At 38.4% G+C, this 18214-nt stretch overlaps 1 protein-coding gene, 1 long non-coding RNA gene and 2 other non-coding genes across 7 annotated transcripts in view, besides 1 other annotated feature; 1 reads left to right on the top strand and 3 right to left on the bottom strand.

Moving 5' to 3' along the window:
- The window catches only part of NR6A1 (nuclear receptor subfamily 6 group A member 1), a 254037-nt gene that overhangs the window by 74768 nt on the left and 161055 nt on the right, over window positions 1-18214 (top strand). The gene's annotated exons all lie outside the window — the stretch shown is intronic.
- The window catches only part of MIR181A2HG (MIR181A2 host gene), a 40193-nt gene that overhangs the window by 2085 nt on the left and 19894 nt on the right, over window positions 1-18214 (bottom strand). The window lies entirely within an intron of this gene.
- Window positions 977-1522: an enhancer, noted in NCBI's record as "H3K27ac-H3K4me1 hESC enhancer chr9:127457301-127457846 (GRCh37/hg19 assembly coordinates)". NCBI's record gives its function as "activates a minimal SCP1, AML or CMV promoter by ChIP-STARR-seq in naive H9 embryonic stem cells {active_cell/tissue: H9 hESC(naive)}" and the evidence as "EXISTENCE:reporter gene assay evidence [ECO:0000049][PMID:30033119]".
- Window positions 2746-2834, bottom strand: MIR181B2 (microRNA 181b-2). Its single transcript, NR_029782.1, has one exon. It is a non-coding gene; the product is annotated as a microRNA 181b-2 (primary transcript).
- Window positions 3993-4102, bottom strand: MIR181A2 (microRNA 181a-2). Its single transcript, NR_029611.1, has one exon. It is a non-coding gene; the product is annotated as a microRNA 181a-2 (primary transcript).

Below are 18214 nucleotides of genomic sequence, written 5' to 3'. Positions count from 1 at the left end.
CTCAAAAAAAAAAAAAAAAAAAAGCTAGAGAACATTATGTATAATTTGTGATGTTATTTTCTCTAAGTATAAATACATGCATTTTAAGTATCTTGAAATATCTGTGAGGCTATACACCGAACAGGATGATGGAAGGGGGTCAGCCAGTAGGCTTTTATTTTGAAAAACAAAAGCCAAAGTATGCCTTTTTGAGATAACCTTTCCTTTCATTCCATTCCTGTTGACTCAGTTCTACCCCTGCTAACTTGTGCAAGAAAGTTCTCTTTTTTCTCTTTTCTTCCCCTCACTTCATCTGCTTAGTGACTCTTCCCAGTCTTGCTTTCATTGTCTCCTTGCTGAGTTTAGCATTTAAAACGGCTCTCTGTTGGACTAATTGACTTTGCGCCTTGCTCACAAGTCCTTCTGTAATATGTCCTTTTACCTTTTCAGTGCCATTCCTTATGACTCCCTAATACAGTCTCTGGACTATTCTCTTCCTGTCCCCTATACATGCCATGTAATTTTTCTGTTACAGGTATTTATTTTGAGGCCTATCTGCAGAAAACACCCTTTAACTTACATAATTGTCTCCCTTCTTGTAGTACTTAGTTTTATCCAAGAGAAAACTTGGATTTGGTTTAATGAAATATATAATTGTTTCATTGGCATATTTAAAGACTATGTAATAGTCTGTAAATAAATAGCATGCTTGTTCAAGTGTACATTTTTCAAAGTACGTGTCAGACATTCTTTTCTAATGTTTTCAGAAATTTTGGAAATAATTGGTTAAAAATAAATGCCTAGAATGCACAGCATCTTGAAAAACAAGACTGCGTGGAGTACCTTCTGTGTGTCTACCAGTCTCACAAAAAACTCTTCTATAAAGACCCCCTCGGGCCGGGCGCGGTGACTCATGCCTATAATCCCAGCAATTTGGGCGGCCGAGGCGGGCGGATCACTTGAGGTCAGGAGTCTGAGACCAGCCTGGCCAACATGGCTCTACTAAAAACACATTTCTTCTAAAAACACAAAAATTGACTGGGTGTGGTGGCGGGCCAGCTACTTGAGAGGCTGAGGCACGAGAATCACTTGAACCCAGGAAGCAGAGGTTGCAGTGAGCCGAGATCGCATCACTGTACTCCAGCCTGGGAAACAGAGCAAGACTGTCTCAAAAAAACAAACAAACGAAAGAAAAACACACACAAAAAAACCTTTTGGTAATTTCTTTGGGTAGGTTTTAGTTTTTTAGATAGCGTAAATCCAAATCCATTCATTTCCATAAAACATCAGACACAATTTGATGTATATTTGGCCACCAAACATGGTGCAAAATTTTATGTAGTCTGGAGATACTTAAAAGCAGCACAAATGTGACTCTACCTGTCTGCACTCAGCAGAATAGTGGCGATTTCAGGTGGTGACACAAAAGGTTGGGCAATAGTTGAAAAGTGGATGACATGAAATGTGGTGGTGGGATGGGGGCAGGAAGCCGATGTTAAGCTAGTGAACTTTATTTACTTTGCTTCCAGCTTCCAGTGACCCAAAATCACCTCGTCTAGAGTAGGGCTCAGGAATTTGCCATTTTAAAAGCAACTCTAGATGATTCTGGTGTACAAGAAGTTTGGGAAACACTGGCTTGAACCTGATATTTTCTCTGAACTCTCATAGTTTTCTTTAGATTTTTCTTTTGGCTTTGATTTCTCTTTCTGGTTCTTGTCTCATTACCCCATCACTTCTCCTTCCTAATTTGACAGGAAAGCCTTGTCAAATTAAGGCTTGCTTAATTGTCAAGGCTAATTTGACAAGACTCTTCTCTTACTGTCTTATTTGACTTTTGCTATGAGAATCTGCTTCTTCTTAGACTTAAGTGTATGATAAATTATTCATGACCAAGGGCCTTGTTTTTCTTTCTTTAACATGGGATTTAGTGGCTTATCTCATGTTACAGGATTTAGAGAGTTGATACTACATTTAAATTTTTTGTTAAGAAAAATGTACATCTTCTATCTCACTTAGGTGTTTTTCCTGTTTGAGGGACATGGTTTGCAAAGGTTAGAATGAATGAGCCTCATAGTTTTTGTCAAAAGAGAATATTGATGTACATCTGAATAATAACCAGAACATTCATATTAAGTCATACTATATAGCCATTTAAAAGAATGACGAGTACATAAAAGACTGTTGTGGAAGTCTATGATATATAGCTGAATAACAAAATAGATTATAGAACAATAGGTAAAAATGAGCTTATTTTTGTCTAAGCCACTCTCCCCCCAAAACATGCAAAATTACAGCTATTTATCTGTGTATGTATGGATAAAGGTCTTCAAGGATATAAAATAAATTCTAGTTATGATATTTATTATCTTAATAAGTTTATTATAATTATACATGTTTTCCTCCGAGGAAATGGATTGCAGATGATGATTGAAGGGATTTTCAATTTTTACTTTGTATATTTTTGTATTTGAATTTCTAAATAATAAGCATATGATTCTGTTTAGAAATTCTGAATGTACTGATTTTTAAAATGTGATGTGATATCCAGATATGTATTTAATTCTTCCTATAAAATATCATTTCCTTAAATCTAGACTATTGAAAAAGGAGAAAAGTACTAGGAATTTAGAGAACTTACTCCATGTTAGAACCAAGGAGAACAAGAAAAGCTTTAGCTAGTGTTTTGGAAATAGTAGCAGCTCCCACTCACAGCAGTAGCTGCTGCACTCAGGCGACTCTCTGCACATGCTTTTGCTTCCTTTGGGTTGTTTGGTCCGCAGTTTGCATTCATTGATCAGTGAGTTGATTCAGACTCAAACCCACCGACAGCAATGAATGTTGAGTGCAGCCATCAGTGTTTTCAGTTGGTGGGGTTGCCTTTGCCCTCCCTGGCTGACTCCTGGCTCTTCTTTTCCATCTCAGTTCTTTGAAGTCTGTGTGTCTGGCTTCTCCCTTAGTAACCAGCCATCTGCATGATTGAGGGCCCACACAGGTGTCCATAACATTGACATTGGAGCTGGGAGGTTATTGCAGATGAGGAAGCTGTGGTTCAGAGAAGGAAGGAGTGCTTGGAGAACCTCACAGGTAGCACTGCGCCACACAGGCAGTGCTTGCATATTAGTACCTGTAAACCACAGCTGAGGGACCTGCTTTTCCTCTTTGTTTTGAACTGAGAAGTATGAGTGCTTTTTTGAGGTAAATTAGCAGATTATGTTGGAGTTTAATAATAACAGCTTACATATATTGAGCATTTGCTGTGGGCTAGTAATGGTACAAAGCACCTTATATATTATCTCATTGAGTCTCAAAACTCCATGATAGGTACTCTTAGCCTCTGTTTTATATGTGAGAAAACTGAGACACTTGCTTAGGGGGTCAAATAACTAGTTAAGGGCTTGAGCCAAGATTCATCCCAGATCTGACTGACTCCAGGGCTAAGTTTTTGCTTGAATTTAGCAAACATTTAAATAAGCATATGTGGGGATATGTGGGCACTAGTAAGGCAATAGCTCATGCTCTAACTGGGATATCAAAAATTAACCATATTAACTATAATTCAAAGTGAAATGTGATAAGAACTGTCACAATTGGATAATTTTGTGCTATTTTTGCTTATTAAATCCTCCCCTTGCCCCTAATTAAAAATTTTGAGAGGATGTGGGAGAAATGGGAGTAATTATTTAACTGGATTTTATTCCAAAACAAAATACGTATTTTTAATAAATTTTTACTTGCTACGTCCTGTTTCTCACCAGAATGGTGCATATCTAGGAGACATGTAGGTACATTAGATATCATCATGGACTGCTCCTTACCTTGTTGAAATGAAACACTTTTTTTGTAAAAACAAACAAATAATAATAAAACACACAACAGAAAGCAAGGAACAGTGAGCAGTAGGAATAAAATTCACTGGACCACATTTGGGGGATTGCAGGACCATTTCTGGTGAACTCATGTGACATGTGAAGGTACAGCTTGCTCTTTTGCTTCAGGAAATGTAGTGTCGTCTGTAAGGACCCCAAGGTACAGTCAACGGTCAGTGGTTTTTTCAAATCCCAAACTCACCGACAGCGTTGAATGTTCCTTGGAGTCCTCTGAAGGCTGGCCTGATAGCCCTTCTTCATTCTCCCATCCACATCCCAAGAACCAGTGAGCAGTGAGACCACCGCTGATGGATGCTCTTACATTCCTCTCTGGGTTTCAAGTCGAGAGTATTTAAATTATAAAATCAATTTGTGTGCAGCAGAGAACTAATGAACTGTGGGATAGACTGTGCAGTAATTTGTACAAGCAGACTCAAATGAATGTCTGAGAAAATGTCTTTGAATGGTATTATTTTGTGATTCTAAAAATGTAAAATACCTGATTTTGCAGTAGTATTTTAATTGTTAACAAGGGTAAGAGATTAACATATATTGGGGATCTGCTATATACTAGGATTTGTATATTTTATCTCATTAAATTCTCAACAACCCACATTTTCCTGATGAAAAAACTTGAAGTGATTTGCCTAAAGTTACATTGCCAGGAGCCAAGGTTATAAGCCAGAATTTGAATACTGGACTTCATGTTTCCAGTGCTCACTCATCATACTGCTTCTGTTGTCTACTACAGAACTTACTGTTGATATCTAGGAGTAGACCCATCACTGCAGAGCCAAAGTCAAACATGTAAATTTCTTCTACTTGTTTGCCTATAATAATAGCAGGTAGGTCTATAGGTGAGGTCATAGGGGAAGATGAAAAACCTCGACCTCCATGATTGATGATCTCCTTTGCTGAGATCCTGCATTACTAAGTTACCACAGAGGTGTTAGTGATAGTCCACAAGCTATTTTCCATATTGAAAAAGCAAAAAATAAACCAAAAACCCACCACCTAATGTAAAGCTTGCATTTCTTCTTAGTTGAGAACACAGAGTGTAACTAAAATGTCAGATGTCATTTGTTCTGGCTGAAACGATACCAGTACATTATAGGACATAGTGGTTATTTTTGATTCTGTTGAATGTCTGTGATGAAAAATTTGAAAAATGAATTAATAATATGAATCTTCAGAATATGTGATTTACAATGGGACAGATCTAGGAATACTTAATAGGAAAAGGGCTTACAGAACTGCCTGCTGAATTGAAGTTAATCTCTAAATGGGGATAGTTATTACTATTTGCTTTAGGTTTAAATACTAAAGGCTGACTGGTCTCAAATTCATTTTTAAAGCAGCCAAATGGTACACGTTAAAAGAAAAAATATCAACCACTGAGATTTAGGTTTGAATGTAAACTGTTTACCTTCTATATCAGTTTAATTCACCCTCTGTCAAAACTCTGCATTAGCCAGCTTTGTTGAGTTTTCAGTGTTATGACAGTAAATTGTATACACACACAAAAAATCAGGCAACTGTAACTGTGTAATATGTTTAAAACTTTTTAATGGGTTTATTTTAAAAAGTCTTCCTCTTGGTCCAATAATATAAAGCGATGTCAAGCCTTATACTATTTGGATAAATATTTAGACTTTAAAAAAAATACTGATTTTGACTTCACCAAACCTTTAGATGCTTACAAAATATTATTCCTTAAATTCATAGCATTCTAAAAAGAATGCTTTTCACAGACTTGAAAAACTACAGAAAGGTAGGTTTCTGGAATGACATGGGGTGTTGCCCACTGTATTTGAAATAATTGTGTATCATGGCATAATGGCCTTCATCATCCTCATTCCTTTAAGTTCTTTAGTTTTTATCATCAAGCAAGTTTGAGCACACATTTGGGTTTTTTAAGTGAGTTTGGCTAAGGGGTTTATATACTCGGTGCAAGGATAAAGTCTAAGGGTTAAAAAAAGTTAAGGGTTAAATTAGCTAAGAGTGACCAGGCAGGGTGGCACATGTAATCCCAGCACTTTCGGAGGCTGAGGAGGGAGGATTCCTTAAGCCCAAGAGTTTGAGGTTACAGTGAGTTGTGATCCACCACTGCACTCCAGCCTGGGTGACAGAGTGAGAATCTGTCTCTAAAAAAAAAAATTATAGGCTGACATTTAACAAGCCAATCCAACTATTTAACTCTTGATTTAGATTGGTTTTGAGTTTGTTAGAACTCACCATGCCATTCCTTAATTTCACATACCTCCTTTCTTTTCCAGAGAAACCACGAAATATTGGTGGTTTCCAATATTCCAGAGAAACCATGAAATATTGAAACCCACATGTCTCCAACATGGGGATGTAAATGTTTTCATAGTCTTCCTGGGACTTCTTGATATACTTGGAAGAAATAAGCATAAACTCAATAAAACAATGTATCTGGATGATTAGTAGCATGTTTGCTTCAGCAGCACATAACTAAAATTGAGTGATTAGTAGCTAATAGAAGAGGAGTCATCGTCTCAGGTGCCGTCTGCCTAGGTGTTTCCCAAGCACCATGCAGGAAGCATCACTATAAGTGTTTGGGGGTAATGCTGCTAGCCGTGAGGATAAATTCTTAAGTTATGAAGATAACAACAGCATGTCAGTGTGAATTCATGTTTCTTTTTGCCAAACTGTGCTAGTTTTCTGATTCATCCTTTTACTGATTCGGCAGTAGAATCCTAGGGATTGTTTTTCCTGTATATAAAACCCTTGCCATCCTGGAGCCCACTATCTGACTAGGGAGCTACACGTAAATATAACTGATGACAAAGAGGATGCCTGGTGGATTGGTGTGAACTATATTAAGGGAGAACAGAGAAAAGAGGGGTTAATTCTGCCTACAAGTGCCAGGAAAGGTATATCTAAGTAGGTTAACCTGGTTTGAGCTTTAAAAGGTTAGTTGAATTTTTACTAGACAGAGAAAGGGGGCTAATTCCAATGGAAAACCATGTACAGGAAATCTTAGAGGCAGAAATGTTTAGGTAATGGTGAGTAGTGAGATTAATGTCTCAGAGTGTCAGTTAACTCATCTTTAAAATGTGAGACAAATAGCACTTGCCCTTCCTGCACACACAGCCATGAAAATCCAATAAGGTTATGTATCTGAAAGAGCATGCAAATGTAATTGCTTCTCTTGTCTCCCATTGCTTTTGTTTCATATGTGCGAGAATAGAATAAATGAAATACCTTATTATAATAAACTTTTCCAAATTGGATGATTCTTTGGCCTTCTTGCTTTTTTTCCCTTTAAAATGACCATAGTTAAAAAATTTCATGTATTAAATGTTTGGAGAAGCAGTATTTACAGCATAGTAAAGAGCAGATTTTGGAGCCAGAATCGTGACTTTGAATTTTACTAGCTATGTGATCTTTGACAAATTACTTAACCTCTCCATTTCTTTGCTTCCTTATCTATAAAATGGAGATTTATATGTTATTTTAAAGGTATTTAAGTTGTTAAGATAATTTACAACTATTATTTCTATGTTAATAAATAAAATTGCTTGTTTTCCCCAGTATTTGGCTTCCAGGCCATATATGCTAATAAAAAACCTGTTCTTTTATAGTTAAAACAATCTCTGACTAGCTGTTGTATTGTATGTGTACATATATGTGTTTTAAGGACATATTTGGAATTAATGCTCTACCACTTTTTTGGTAAGGTTTTCATTTCCCATAACGTTTTAGTTTCCTGAGTCTATAAAATGAGAATATTAGTACCTTCTTCATTGATTGTGAGGATTAAATTAGATAACATTATTTAAAACTCTCCCTATCTAATTAAATTAGATGATAATATTTAAAAATCCGCTATGGATTCTCTCCCTAAATACATGTACATAAACACATTTTGAAAGCAGTTTCAATTATGGAATCCAGGAACTCATTTATCACCTCCTTGGTGGGTTTGTCTGTGAACTTCAGATTAGGAAATTCTGACCATAGCTATAGAGCAGGATTTCTCAATCTAGTCTTGTCACTGATACGATGTTGCTTTTTTTGGAAGCTTTGATCTCCATCTTGTTACGAGTGGCTACTTGGCCAGTAGCAGTGAATACTCTTGCCATCACCTTTCCCTGAAGCATAATGTATAACCCAGTAGCAGTGGTTCCAGGAAAAGTAATTATTTAGACTTCACCAAGTTCTGTACCAATTGCAGATACCAACCATTAATTGGTAACTCTGTGCTTACACAATTATAGTAGTCCCTCATTATATGCGTTTTCGCTTTCTGTGGTTTCAGTTACTTTCAAAAATAGGTGAGTACGGTACAATAAGATATTCTGAGAGAGAGACCACATTCACATAACTTTTTTTTTTTTCTTTTTTAAAGACAGGGTCTCTTGCTGTGTTGCCCAGGCTGAGGTGCAGTGGTGCAGTCACAGCTCACTGTATCCTGAAACTCCTGGGCTCAAGTAATCCTCCCGCCTCAGCCTCCTGAGTAGCTAGAACTGCAGGTGCATGCCACCATGCCTGGCTGATTTAGAAATTTTTTTTTGTACAGACAGGGTCTCACTATGTTCCCCAGGCTGGTCTCAAACTCCATGCCTCAAACAGTCCTCCCACCTAGGCCTCCCAAAGTGGTGAGATTCCAGGCATGAGCCACTGTGCCCAGCCAACTTATACCATATTGTTTTAATTGTTCCATTTTATTATCAGTTATTGTTACTGTCTTACTGTGCCTAATTTATAAATTAAACTTTGCCATAGGTATGTATGTATAGGCAGAAACATAATATATATGGAGTTGTGTACTATTCGAAGTTTCAGGCGTCTGCTGGGAGTCTTGGAACAGATCCTCTTCTAAAAGAAATTGTCAAATGAGAAGTTATACAAATATTTGAATGCATTTAGCTATCTTATTTTGCAAGTTTCCCATCTGCCCCCACTTTCCCAGCAACCATTTGGTTTGCATCTGATCCCAGCACTTTGACTACTAATTCTGGTTTTAAGTTAGGCCAAAATAATGTGTTGTTTTAAGGTACTGGTCATAAAGGAGCCTGCTGAATCTAGAGTGTTTACTTGAGTGTTAGGAAGGAGAAAAAAAGAATCTCAAAGGTTAAGTTGTATATGGGATAATGGTCATTCTTATATTTAGTCTGCCTAAGGTTTTACCAAGGAGTTGAGAGGTAGAATTAGAAATTTAAACTCAGTAGCTTGGAACATTTTAAAATTTTACATGGCAACTTTATATCAGGTTACTTTAGCTGTTTGGGATGTTGGGGGCATGGTGGCTGATGTATAATGCCAGCACTTTGGGAGCTGAGATAGGGGTATCACTTGAGGCCAGGAGTTTGAGACCAGCCTGGGCAACATAGCAAGACCTTGTCTCTACCAATAAATAAATAAATAAATAAATAAATAATTAATTAGCTGGCTGTGGTGGCATGTGCCTGTAGTCCCAGCTATTTAGGAGGCTGAGGTGGAGGATTGCTTGAGTTCAGGAGTTTGAGGCTACAGTGAGCTCTAATTGTGCCGCCACTTCACTCTAGCCTGAGTGACAGAGTGTGACCTGACCTGATCTCTTAAAAGGAAAGAAAAAAAAAAAAGGATGTGGACAGGCCAAGTAACTGAGATAGCAAATTGGCCTAGTGCTAGGGCAGTATTTCTCTTCAAATGGGACACATACTTCAAAGCCTTTCAAAATATTTTGGCCTGGCACAGTGGCTCATGCCTGTAATCCCAGCACTTTAGGTGGCCGAGGAGGGAGGTATTGCTTGAGCCCAGGATTTCAAGACCAGCCTGGGCAACATGGCAAGAACCCCATCTCTACAAAAAATAAAAAATTAGCTGAGCGTGGCGGTGTGTGCCTGTGGCTCCAGCTACTCAGGAGGCTGAGGCAGGAGGATCAGTTGAACCCAGGAGGTTGAGGCTGCAGTCAGCCGTGTTTGTGCCACTGCACTCCAGCCTGGGGAACACAGAGTGACCCTGTCACAAAAAAAAAAAAAAAAAGACTTTTAAAGAAGCACATGATTTCTCCATCCCCTTGTTGCAGTGACTTCACGTGTTTGAGGTATTACTATTTTAGATTATTTTGCAAACCCACAGGAAGCAGGACTCGTTTTTTTTCATGGTAAATCAGGATATTTGTAATCAGTGAAAAACTCTTCTGAGTTACTCTACCAGCGATTATTGTTCAAGTTAAGCTGAAATAATAAGTTGGGAATATAAAGCTGTAAAAGCAATAGGAACCAATATCATGCAGTAGGTGATATTCATGGAAATTGAAGAATGAACTGGAGAGAATCTTGGTTTGTATTGTAGTGTGTGAAAAGTGTTGGCCGAGATTTTAAAAGTTCTTTAAAGCCAATAGGCGTGTGTTTTGCAACAACCAGTTAATGAAATAAACAAGAACAGTTACCAAAGAACTCAATCTTTCCTTTTTTACAATTATGAAGCGCAGATGATGTATCAGTGATATAAGACTATTTCTTCCTCTGACTTATTTTTGTTTATTGGGTTAATTTTAGTCTTATAGTAATTTATACTTTAAAAACTTGAGCTCTGTTCTTAGAAAGTTTATTATTGCCTCAGGTAGAGTATAGATTTGTGTTAAGGCTTTGTAAGTTATTGGTAAGTAGACATATTCATTTCATAACTATTTTGAGTTATTCATAACAGGGAAAATGCTTTTTAATGTTGCCTTTCTTGGTTATTTCCAGCAGATAGTTGAGTTTTTCCAAAATATGATGTCTTAAAACTTTTATTTAAAAATGTGTGTTCTGTAGAAAAGCTATGCTTAGATCTACCTCATACTTTCATAAATGAAATAATACTGTACTAGTTTGGGCAAACTATTGATACTTGGTTTATTGTTTTTGGACCTATCTCTCCATTGCTAACCTGAAATTGACAATGCCGATGTTTGAGTGGGAATGCTAATCATGAATGGGGAAATAATTCTGGGTTGAATAAATAGAAAATAAGTTTCAACCTACAATTTTGTAACTTTCAGACTATCAGGAGTGTTAGAGGTCATTTAGTCTCATGGTTTCCAAACCTGCTTTGCATCAGAATTAAAAGTGTAGGCTGGGCACAGTGGCTTACACCTGTAATCTCAGTACTTTGGGAGTCCACAGCAAGAGGATCACTTGGGCCCAGGAGTTTGAGACCAGCCAGGGCAACATAAGGAGACCCCATCTCTACTAAAAATTGAAAAAATTAGCCCGGCATTGTGATGTCTGCCAGTAGTTCTAGCTACATAGGAGGCTGAGGTGGCAATATTGGCTTGAGCCCAAGACTTGGTCAAGGCTGCAGTGAGCCGTGCTTGTGCAACTGCACTCCAGCCTGGGCGACGGAGTGAGACCCTGTCTCCCCCAACTCCTCCCAGAAAAAGTGGTAGCGATGGGAAATGTAGCCTGCTAAAAGTGCAGATTCCTAGGCATCATCCCAGACTTAGTAAATCAGCTTTTCTAGGAGTAAATTCTGTATTTTTCAAAAGCGTTCATATTATTCTGGTGCAGTAATTTAAAAAGTGGACATTTGGGAATCTCTTATTTAGGCTAAATATCTTAATTTAACAGATGAAGAAACAGATTTAGAAGGGAAATGAAGATTCTAAGTCACACAGCAGGGTCAGAATTGAAATCTTTGACTACATGTATGTGTGTTTATCATAATTATACCACTCTGTCTCTTCATCATGAAAAAGAATTTTTTTTTTTTTGCAGAAGTTTCCTATTGGCCATCTGCAAGATAGATGATATAGCCTTCAAGTCAAAATCTGCCTGATGAGTCAAACATCTTAGCCTCAGGGATGCACCCAAAACTATTGTAAATGGACCATTGACTTGGATTTGGGAGGCTTTCCTGAAGCATTTAACTAAGTAAGCAGTACTGAGTGGTGTTGGGTTAAAATCCGTCCATGGTATGAAATGAGAAATAGCTGTAAAGTGATCTAAACTCTGTGATGGTCCTCCAGGGTCTGACATTTATCAGCTGCTGCTACACTTTACCGCTTTTCTTTAATCAAAGATGACTACCACTGGATGGAAGAGGCTCGAGGAACCCCTGGCTGCTCTCTGGGGAGGAATTTATTTTAATTGCCAGTAAGAAGGTAGGAATGATTTTAATAAAGATCAAGAACCTCCTAATCCACTTCAGCTTGGGCTCCTGGCCAAGTGTCCATCCTCAGGAGAGAGTTGGTGTCAGCTGCTGCCTTGTGTCTTGAAGGTATTTCAGAAAAGCCAAAGGCATTACAGAAGCCTTTCCTGAGTTGACAGGCAAGAGTGGCACCAGGAATCAAGGGCTGACACATGTCATCAGCCTGGAAAAAGTGGAGCTTGGACATTAATGATGGCTCTTGTGAACACTCAGTGTGATAAAGCCAAGAGGACTTGGCTTGGGGTTTAGTTTGCATAGGCAGGGAGTTAGAGCTTAGAGAACACCTGCCAAGAGTTTTCACTGTCCCGGCTGTTGGTGATGCATCCTTCATCCTTGACTTCTGTCACTCCTTTTTAGTGGGTGATGGTAGAAATGCTGGATGGGTAAGGAAGAGAGGCAGCTTGGTCATACCTAGCACATCTCCCTATTTGCTTGTTTTCTTGCTGTTGTCTGTGTAGAACTAAATTTGTATGGCGATACTCGAGGCTAGTGTTTTGTTCTGTCTATATTTGAAGGCACACTGGGCAAGAGTCATAGGTGCTCTGTTTCCAAAAATGCCACTTTGCTAGTATCCACACAAATGTTTTGATTGGCAGTTGTGAGACTTTTTTGCTAATACATCTATTAGAAGTATTGTTTTCAAATCCTGGTTCTGCCATTTAGTAGCCGTGTGACTTTTGGCAAGTGGTTTAACCTCAGGTTTTCATCTGTAAAATGAAGGTTAGTGAGTAATTGTATTTATTTATATTTTTTTATTTTTGAGATGGAGTTTCACTCTTGTTGCCCAAGCTGGAGTGCAATGGTGCGATCTTGGCTCACTGCAACCTCCACCTCCTGGGTTCAAGTGATTCTCCTGCCTCAGCCTCCTGAGTAGTTGGGATTACAGGTGGTGCCACCATGCCCAGATAATTTTTGTATCTTTAGTAGAGATGGGATTTCACCATGTTGACCAGGCTGGTCTTGAACTCCTGACCTCAGGTGATCCACCTGCCTTGGCCTCCCAAAGTGCTGGGATTACAGGCATGAGCCACCACACCCGGCAGCAATTGTATTTATATCAGAGTGGTGAGAATTAAGTGAGAGCAGGAATGAAAAACACCTGGCATATAATATTCAAATTTGTTACTATTATTGTAATTACTTGACCAAACTTCCAGCTTGCTGTAAAGAATGGAACGAGGGGTTTCTAAATTATCATCTTAGTAAGCAGAGGAATTGTGGTGTAGAAAGAACATAAAATTGAAGTCAGGAGATCCAAATTCAAGTCTTGTTTTGTCTTGTCTTTTCCTTTTCCTTTTCCTTTTCCTTTTCCTTTTCCCTTTCCCTTTCCCTTCCTTTCTTTTCTTTTCTGTCTTGGAGGGTCTCACTCTATGCCCCAGGCTGGAGTGTAGTGGCGTGATCCCAGCTCACTGCAGCCTCAACCTCCTGAGCTCAAGTGATCCTCCCACCTCAGCTTCCCAAGTTACTGGGATCGCAAGTATGCACCACCATGTCTAATTTTTAAATTTTTTGCAGAGATAGGGTCTCATTGTGTTGCCTAGGCTGGTCTTGAGCTCCTGGACTCAAGCGATCCTCCCACCTTAGCTTCCCAGAATGCTGGGATTACAGGCATGAGCCACTGTGCCAGTCCTTGGATTCAAGTCTTGACTGTGCTATATGTTACTTCAATTTCCATACTTTTTCATAAAAAATTATACCAGCCCAAACCAAACAGAATCAGGACCCCTAAGATCTCTTGCCAAACAAAGAAAGAATTATTGTCCATAGAGCAATGTTTTTCAAACTTTCTGGTCCCAGTGACCCCCTTACATTCATAAAAATCATTGAGATTCCCAAGAGCTTTTATTTATATGGGCTATAGCTACTTTCTAGAAATTAAACAGAGAAACTTAAAAGTATTTTAATTCATTTAAAGATTAAATAAAAATGATAAACCATTATATATTAACATAAGTAACATTTTAAAATAAAGCTGTAAAAATAGCTATTTTTTTAAAAATTGGTGAGAAGAATGACATTGTTTTACATTTTTGCAGATCTCTTTAATGTCTGACTTCATAAAGGATAGCTGAATTCTCATATCTGCATATGTCTGTTACAATATACTGTTTGGGTTAAAGTATATGAAGAAAATCTGGTTTTACGTAGATATATAAAAAAAGATTTTTTAATAGTCAGTTCAGACAATTTTGCATATTCTTCTTTTGATACCGTACTAGATCTTAATACTTGGTAGTTTTAAGGTTAGTTGCGGCCAGGCGCGATGGCTGATGCCTGTATTCCCAGCACTCTGGGAGGCCGAGGTGGGTGGATCATCTGAGGTCAGGAGTTCGAGACCAGCCTGGCCGACATGGTGAAACCCTGTCTCTACTAAAAATACAAAAAGAAAAAATTAGCTGGGCATGGTGGTGGGCGCCTGTAGTCCCAGCTACTCGGGAGGCTGAGGCAGGAGAATCGCTTGAACCAAGGAGGTGGAGGTTGCAGTGAGCCAAGATCATGTCATTGCACTCCAGCCTGGGCAACAAGAGCAAAACTCCCTCTCAAAACAAAACAAAAAACAAAACAAAACAAAACAAAAAAACAAAGGTTAGTTGCGGTATGGAATCAGAAACTGTATCAATGAACTTTTCATACTCGATTTTATTAAAATTCATTTGTCTATCTTGCATTTTTCATGGATCTTTTACCCAAGCATGATTTTGTGACATCATACATTGGTCATTTGGAAAATACTTGTTCACTGAGTTATGCGGATTTTCTAAATATTGACACATTTCATAATATCAAAAAATTAAGTTTGTAAATATCATTGAACTCATCAGATACATCTTTAAATATTTGGAACCTGTGAAGCTCACAGTGACAGATAAAAATATCCCAAAATTCTAATTTTGGCTTAAAAGCTCAAATGTTGGGCTGAGTGTGGTGGCTCACGCCTGTAATCCCAGCACTTTGGGAGACCGAGGTGGGCAGATCACGAGGTCAGTAGTTCAAGACCAGCCTGACCAACATAACGAAAACCTATCTCTACTAAAAATACAAAAATTAGCTAGGTGTGGTGGCATGCACCTGTAGTCCCAGCTACTCAGGAGGCTGAAGCAGGAGAATCGCCTGAACCCGGAAGGTGGAGGTTGCAGTGAGCCGAGACCATACCATTGCACTCCAGCCTGGGTGACAGAGTGAGACTCCATCTCAAAAAAAAAAAAAAAAAAAAAGCTCAAATGTTATCATTGGCAACAAATACTGTCACTTGTTTTCCTTGAAGTGACATACTCACTTTGTTCATTTTCAAGAAAATATCCATCAGATACCCAAGTGTGAATAACCACAATTTGTTTAGTAAGTAAAATGATAGTCAATGAAAAAAATGGGCTAGTTCAGCTTACAACGTAACAATAACTCCAGTGCTGCTTCTTGAAGCAGCCACTGTGCAGAAGTGCTTTATGTGTACCTACTGTTTTGTCACACAGAATATTTTAAAAGATGTTTGCTCAGGGTCAAGATTGAATAAAATCACTAAATCTTACTGCTTCATCAAGGACATTATTAAGTTAAAATGGCTTTCCCTCCTTTTTTCTGTAGTGTGTGACAGTGACAAATACAGTGACTACTGGTACATTTTGGTGACACTACTAAATTACTGCCAAGGGCAGCAGTTTAACCCAGCATTGACTTTGTACCATCATTACAAATGTCAACATAGTGAAAAAGGCAAATAATGTCTTAGAGTTAGTATAGAAATAGTTTTGACTTTTCAGACTCCCAGGAAGAGTCTGGGAAACATATGTGGGCCATACTTTGAGAACCACTGCTTTGGAGTTCATATGTTAGGAAACTCTAGGCAAATGGTGGGAAACTCTCGTAGTCCCTTCAGAGCTAACATTTATGGCTGCAGTGGGCTATAGCAGAGGAGACAAACCGTGTATTATTTTGGCATCCCCCTGGAGCTTTACCATAGTATTTAAGGGCTCGTTTGTACAGTGGAGCTCAATAAAGGTTGATCTATCAATGCTTATTGCCTAAATATTTAGCGACTTCATTTTTCCTCTGTACTTTGTACACTCCGTTTTTTTTGTGTGTGTTCATACTGTAAACACTATGTATTTTCTGAGTCTCACTGATCCCTCTGCTCAAGGTTATCTTTTTATAATTAAGTCAGTTCAGTTTATTTAATAGATATTGATTGGACAATATTGTTACTATGTGGGTTTTATTCTGGTTGTGGGGGAATAAGAAGTAAATCACATGGCATTTGCTTTTTTATGGTTTTGGGAAAATGAGCAGTTATACAGCATGCCAAACAGTGTCCAGATGCAGAGGTTAATAGTGCCTGGTGCAGGGTTCAGCATTTAGTAGCTATTTGTAAGAAATAGCTCCTTTTTTGGAACATTCTTTCAATGTCACACATCACGATTTACATATACATACATAAACACACACACACACACACACACACACACACATACATACACACAGACACATAAACACATTTGACTGTATGTATAATTACATATAATGTATAACTCATAATTTCCTTTTGAGATATAAATAATCACCCTATAATCTTGTCTGTTTTGGAAGTTGCAATAGGCATCCATAATTTTGGTGGGTGTTAGGTCTTTTTTTAAACTCTTACTTTTTTTTTTTTTTTCTCTTTGAGATGGAACCTCTCTCCGTTGTCCAGGCTGGAGTGCAGTGGTATGAGCTTGGTTCACTGCAACCACCACCTCCCTGGTTCAAGCTATCCTCCTACCTTAGCCACCCATGAAGCTGAGATTAAAGGCATTCGCCACCATGACCGGCTAATTTTTTTTTTTTGTATTTTTAGTAGAGATGGGGTTTTACCATGTTGGCCAGGCTGGTCTCGAACTCCTGACCTCAAGTGATCCACTGCCTTGGCCTCTCAAAGTGCTGGAATTACAGGCATCAGCCACTGTGCCCAGCCTTTTTTCAAACTCTTAAGATTTGAAAAGCAATGAAAAATGCTTTTGTTTATACTGCTAATGTTATACTGCAAGCAATTGTGTCATTGTTAAATAGTACCCTCTTTGGCTCCCTACGGATGGTTTTATGACAAGATAATCAGGGGGCAGGTGCGGATCTGCTGAGTTGAGTTGATACTACATTTAGTTTTTAGATTAAGGCAGATAGAAAAAGTTGTACAGGTCTAGCTTGCTAGTCGTTTTAACATAGGAAGTAGTCAGTTTACAGCTTAACAAATCAGTTTGGAGAACAAAGCATCCATAAGATGTCAGTCACAATATAGCCAGTAATTGGCAGGTGATTATCGATGTCTCCAAAATGAACACTGATCAGAAGCAACCAGTTATGGAAATTGCTCTATTTTTGTACAGTCTCTGTGAGATTAACTTCAAGAGTAACATGTATATATAAGGAACTAACTATAAATACCTAGCTAGTATCTTGAATGGGAACTTGAGGTGAGGATAGAGGACAGAGAATTGTAAGTTCTTTATAAGCCACATGCAAAATGGGGGCCTTTTCTTTTATTTTTAGAGACAGGGGTCTTGCTGTGTTGCTTAGGCTAGTTTCCAAGCAAACCTCCTACCTCAGCCTCCTGAGTAGCTGGGATTATAGGCACGAACCACCGGGGCCAGCTGCTTTTCTTCCTAGAATGCCCTCAGCATAACTTTTTTGCTTCTAGAAAGTTATTAGGACTGGGTCGCTCCCTTTTGGGGCTTTCTTACTACTTTCTTAAAATTTTATTTCCTGAGTGAGGTCTTAACTAGGCTATATGAAAGCAAACTGATTAAAAGAATTTATCCAAATATCCCCTTTGTAACTCGTCCAGGGATATTCAGTTATATAAATGAACTAGAGAGAGTTTGACTGTTAGAAGCAGATCCTTATTTGTGCTGCTCCAGGATTTGGAAGTGAGGGGAGGGGGAGCATTTCTCTCAAGTCATAACTTAGTCCAGGTAAGTCTGAGGAGGTGAGGTAAGAACAGTAACAGCCTTTCTTTGTATTATCTTAGTAAATGCTTCCAACAACCTTTCTGATAAGGTGGTGGTTGTTGCATTTGTTATTACACTTACATCTTCTGTCTCACTCCATTGTTCTCCAGTTGTCCCCAGAAGTGCTTGGTTTGCATGAGCATATCAACAGTGGTGCACATTGCTAAATATGTCACATCAGCTAGGTTGTGTCATTTGATTGAAATACTAAGTTCTACAGTTAACGAAGGGTGATGATATGTACATTAT

This window comes from Homo sapiens, chromosome 9 (assembly GCF_000001405.40).
Source record: "Homo sapiens chromosome 9, GRCh38.p14 Primary Assembly".
Lineage (NCBI taxonomy): Eukaryota > Metazoa > Chordata > Mammalia > Primates > Hominidae > Homo > Homo sapiens.
Note: the sequence above shows the minus strand (reverse complement) of the source record. Positions and strands in the feature narration are given on the sequence as shown.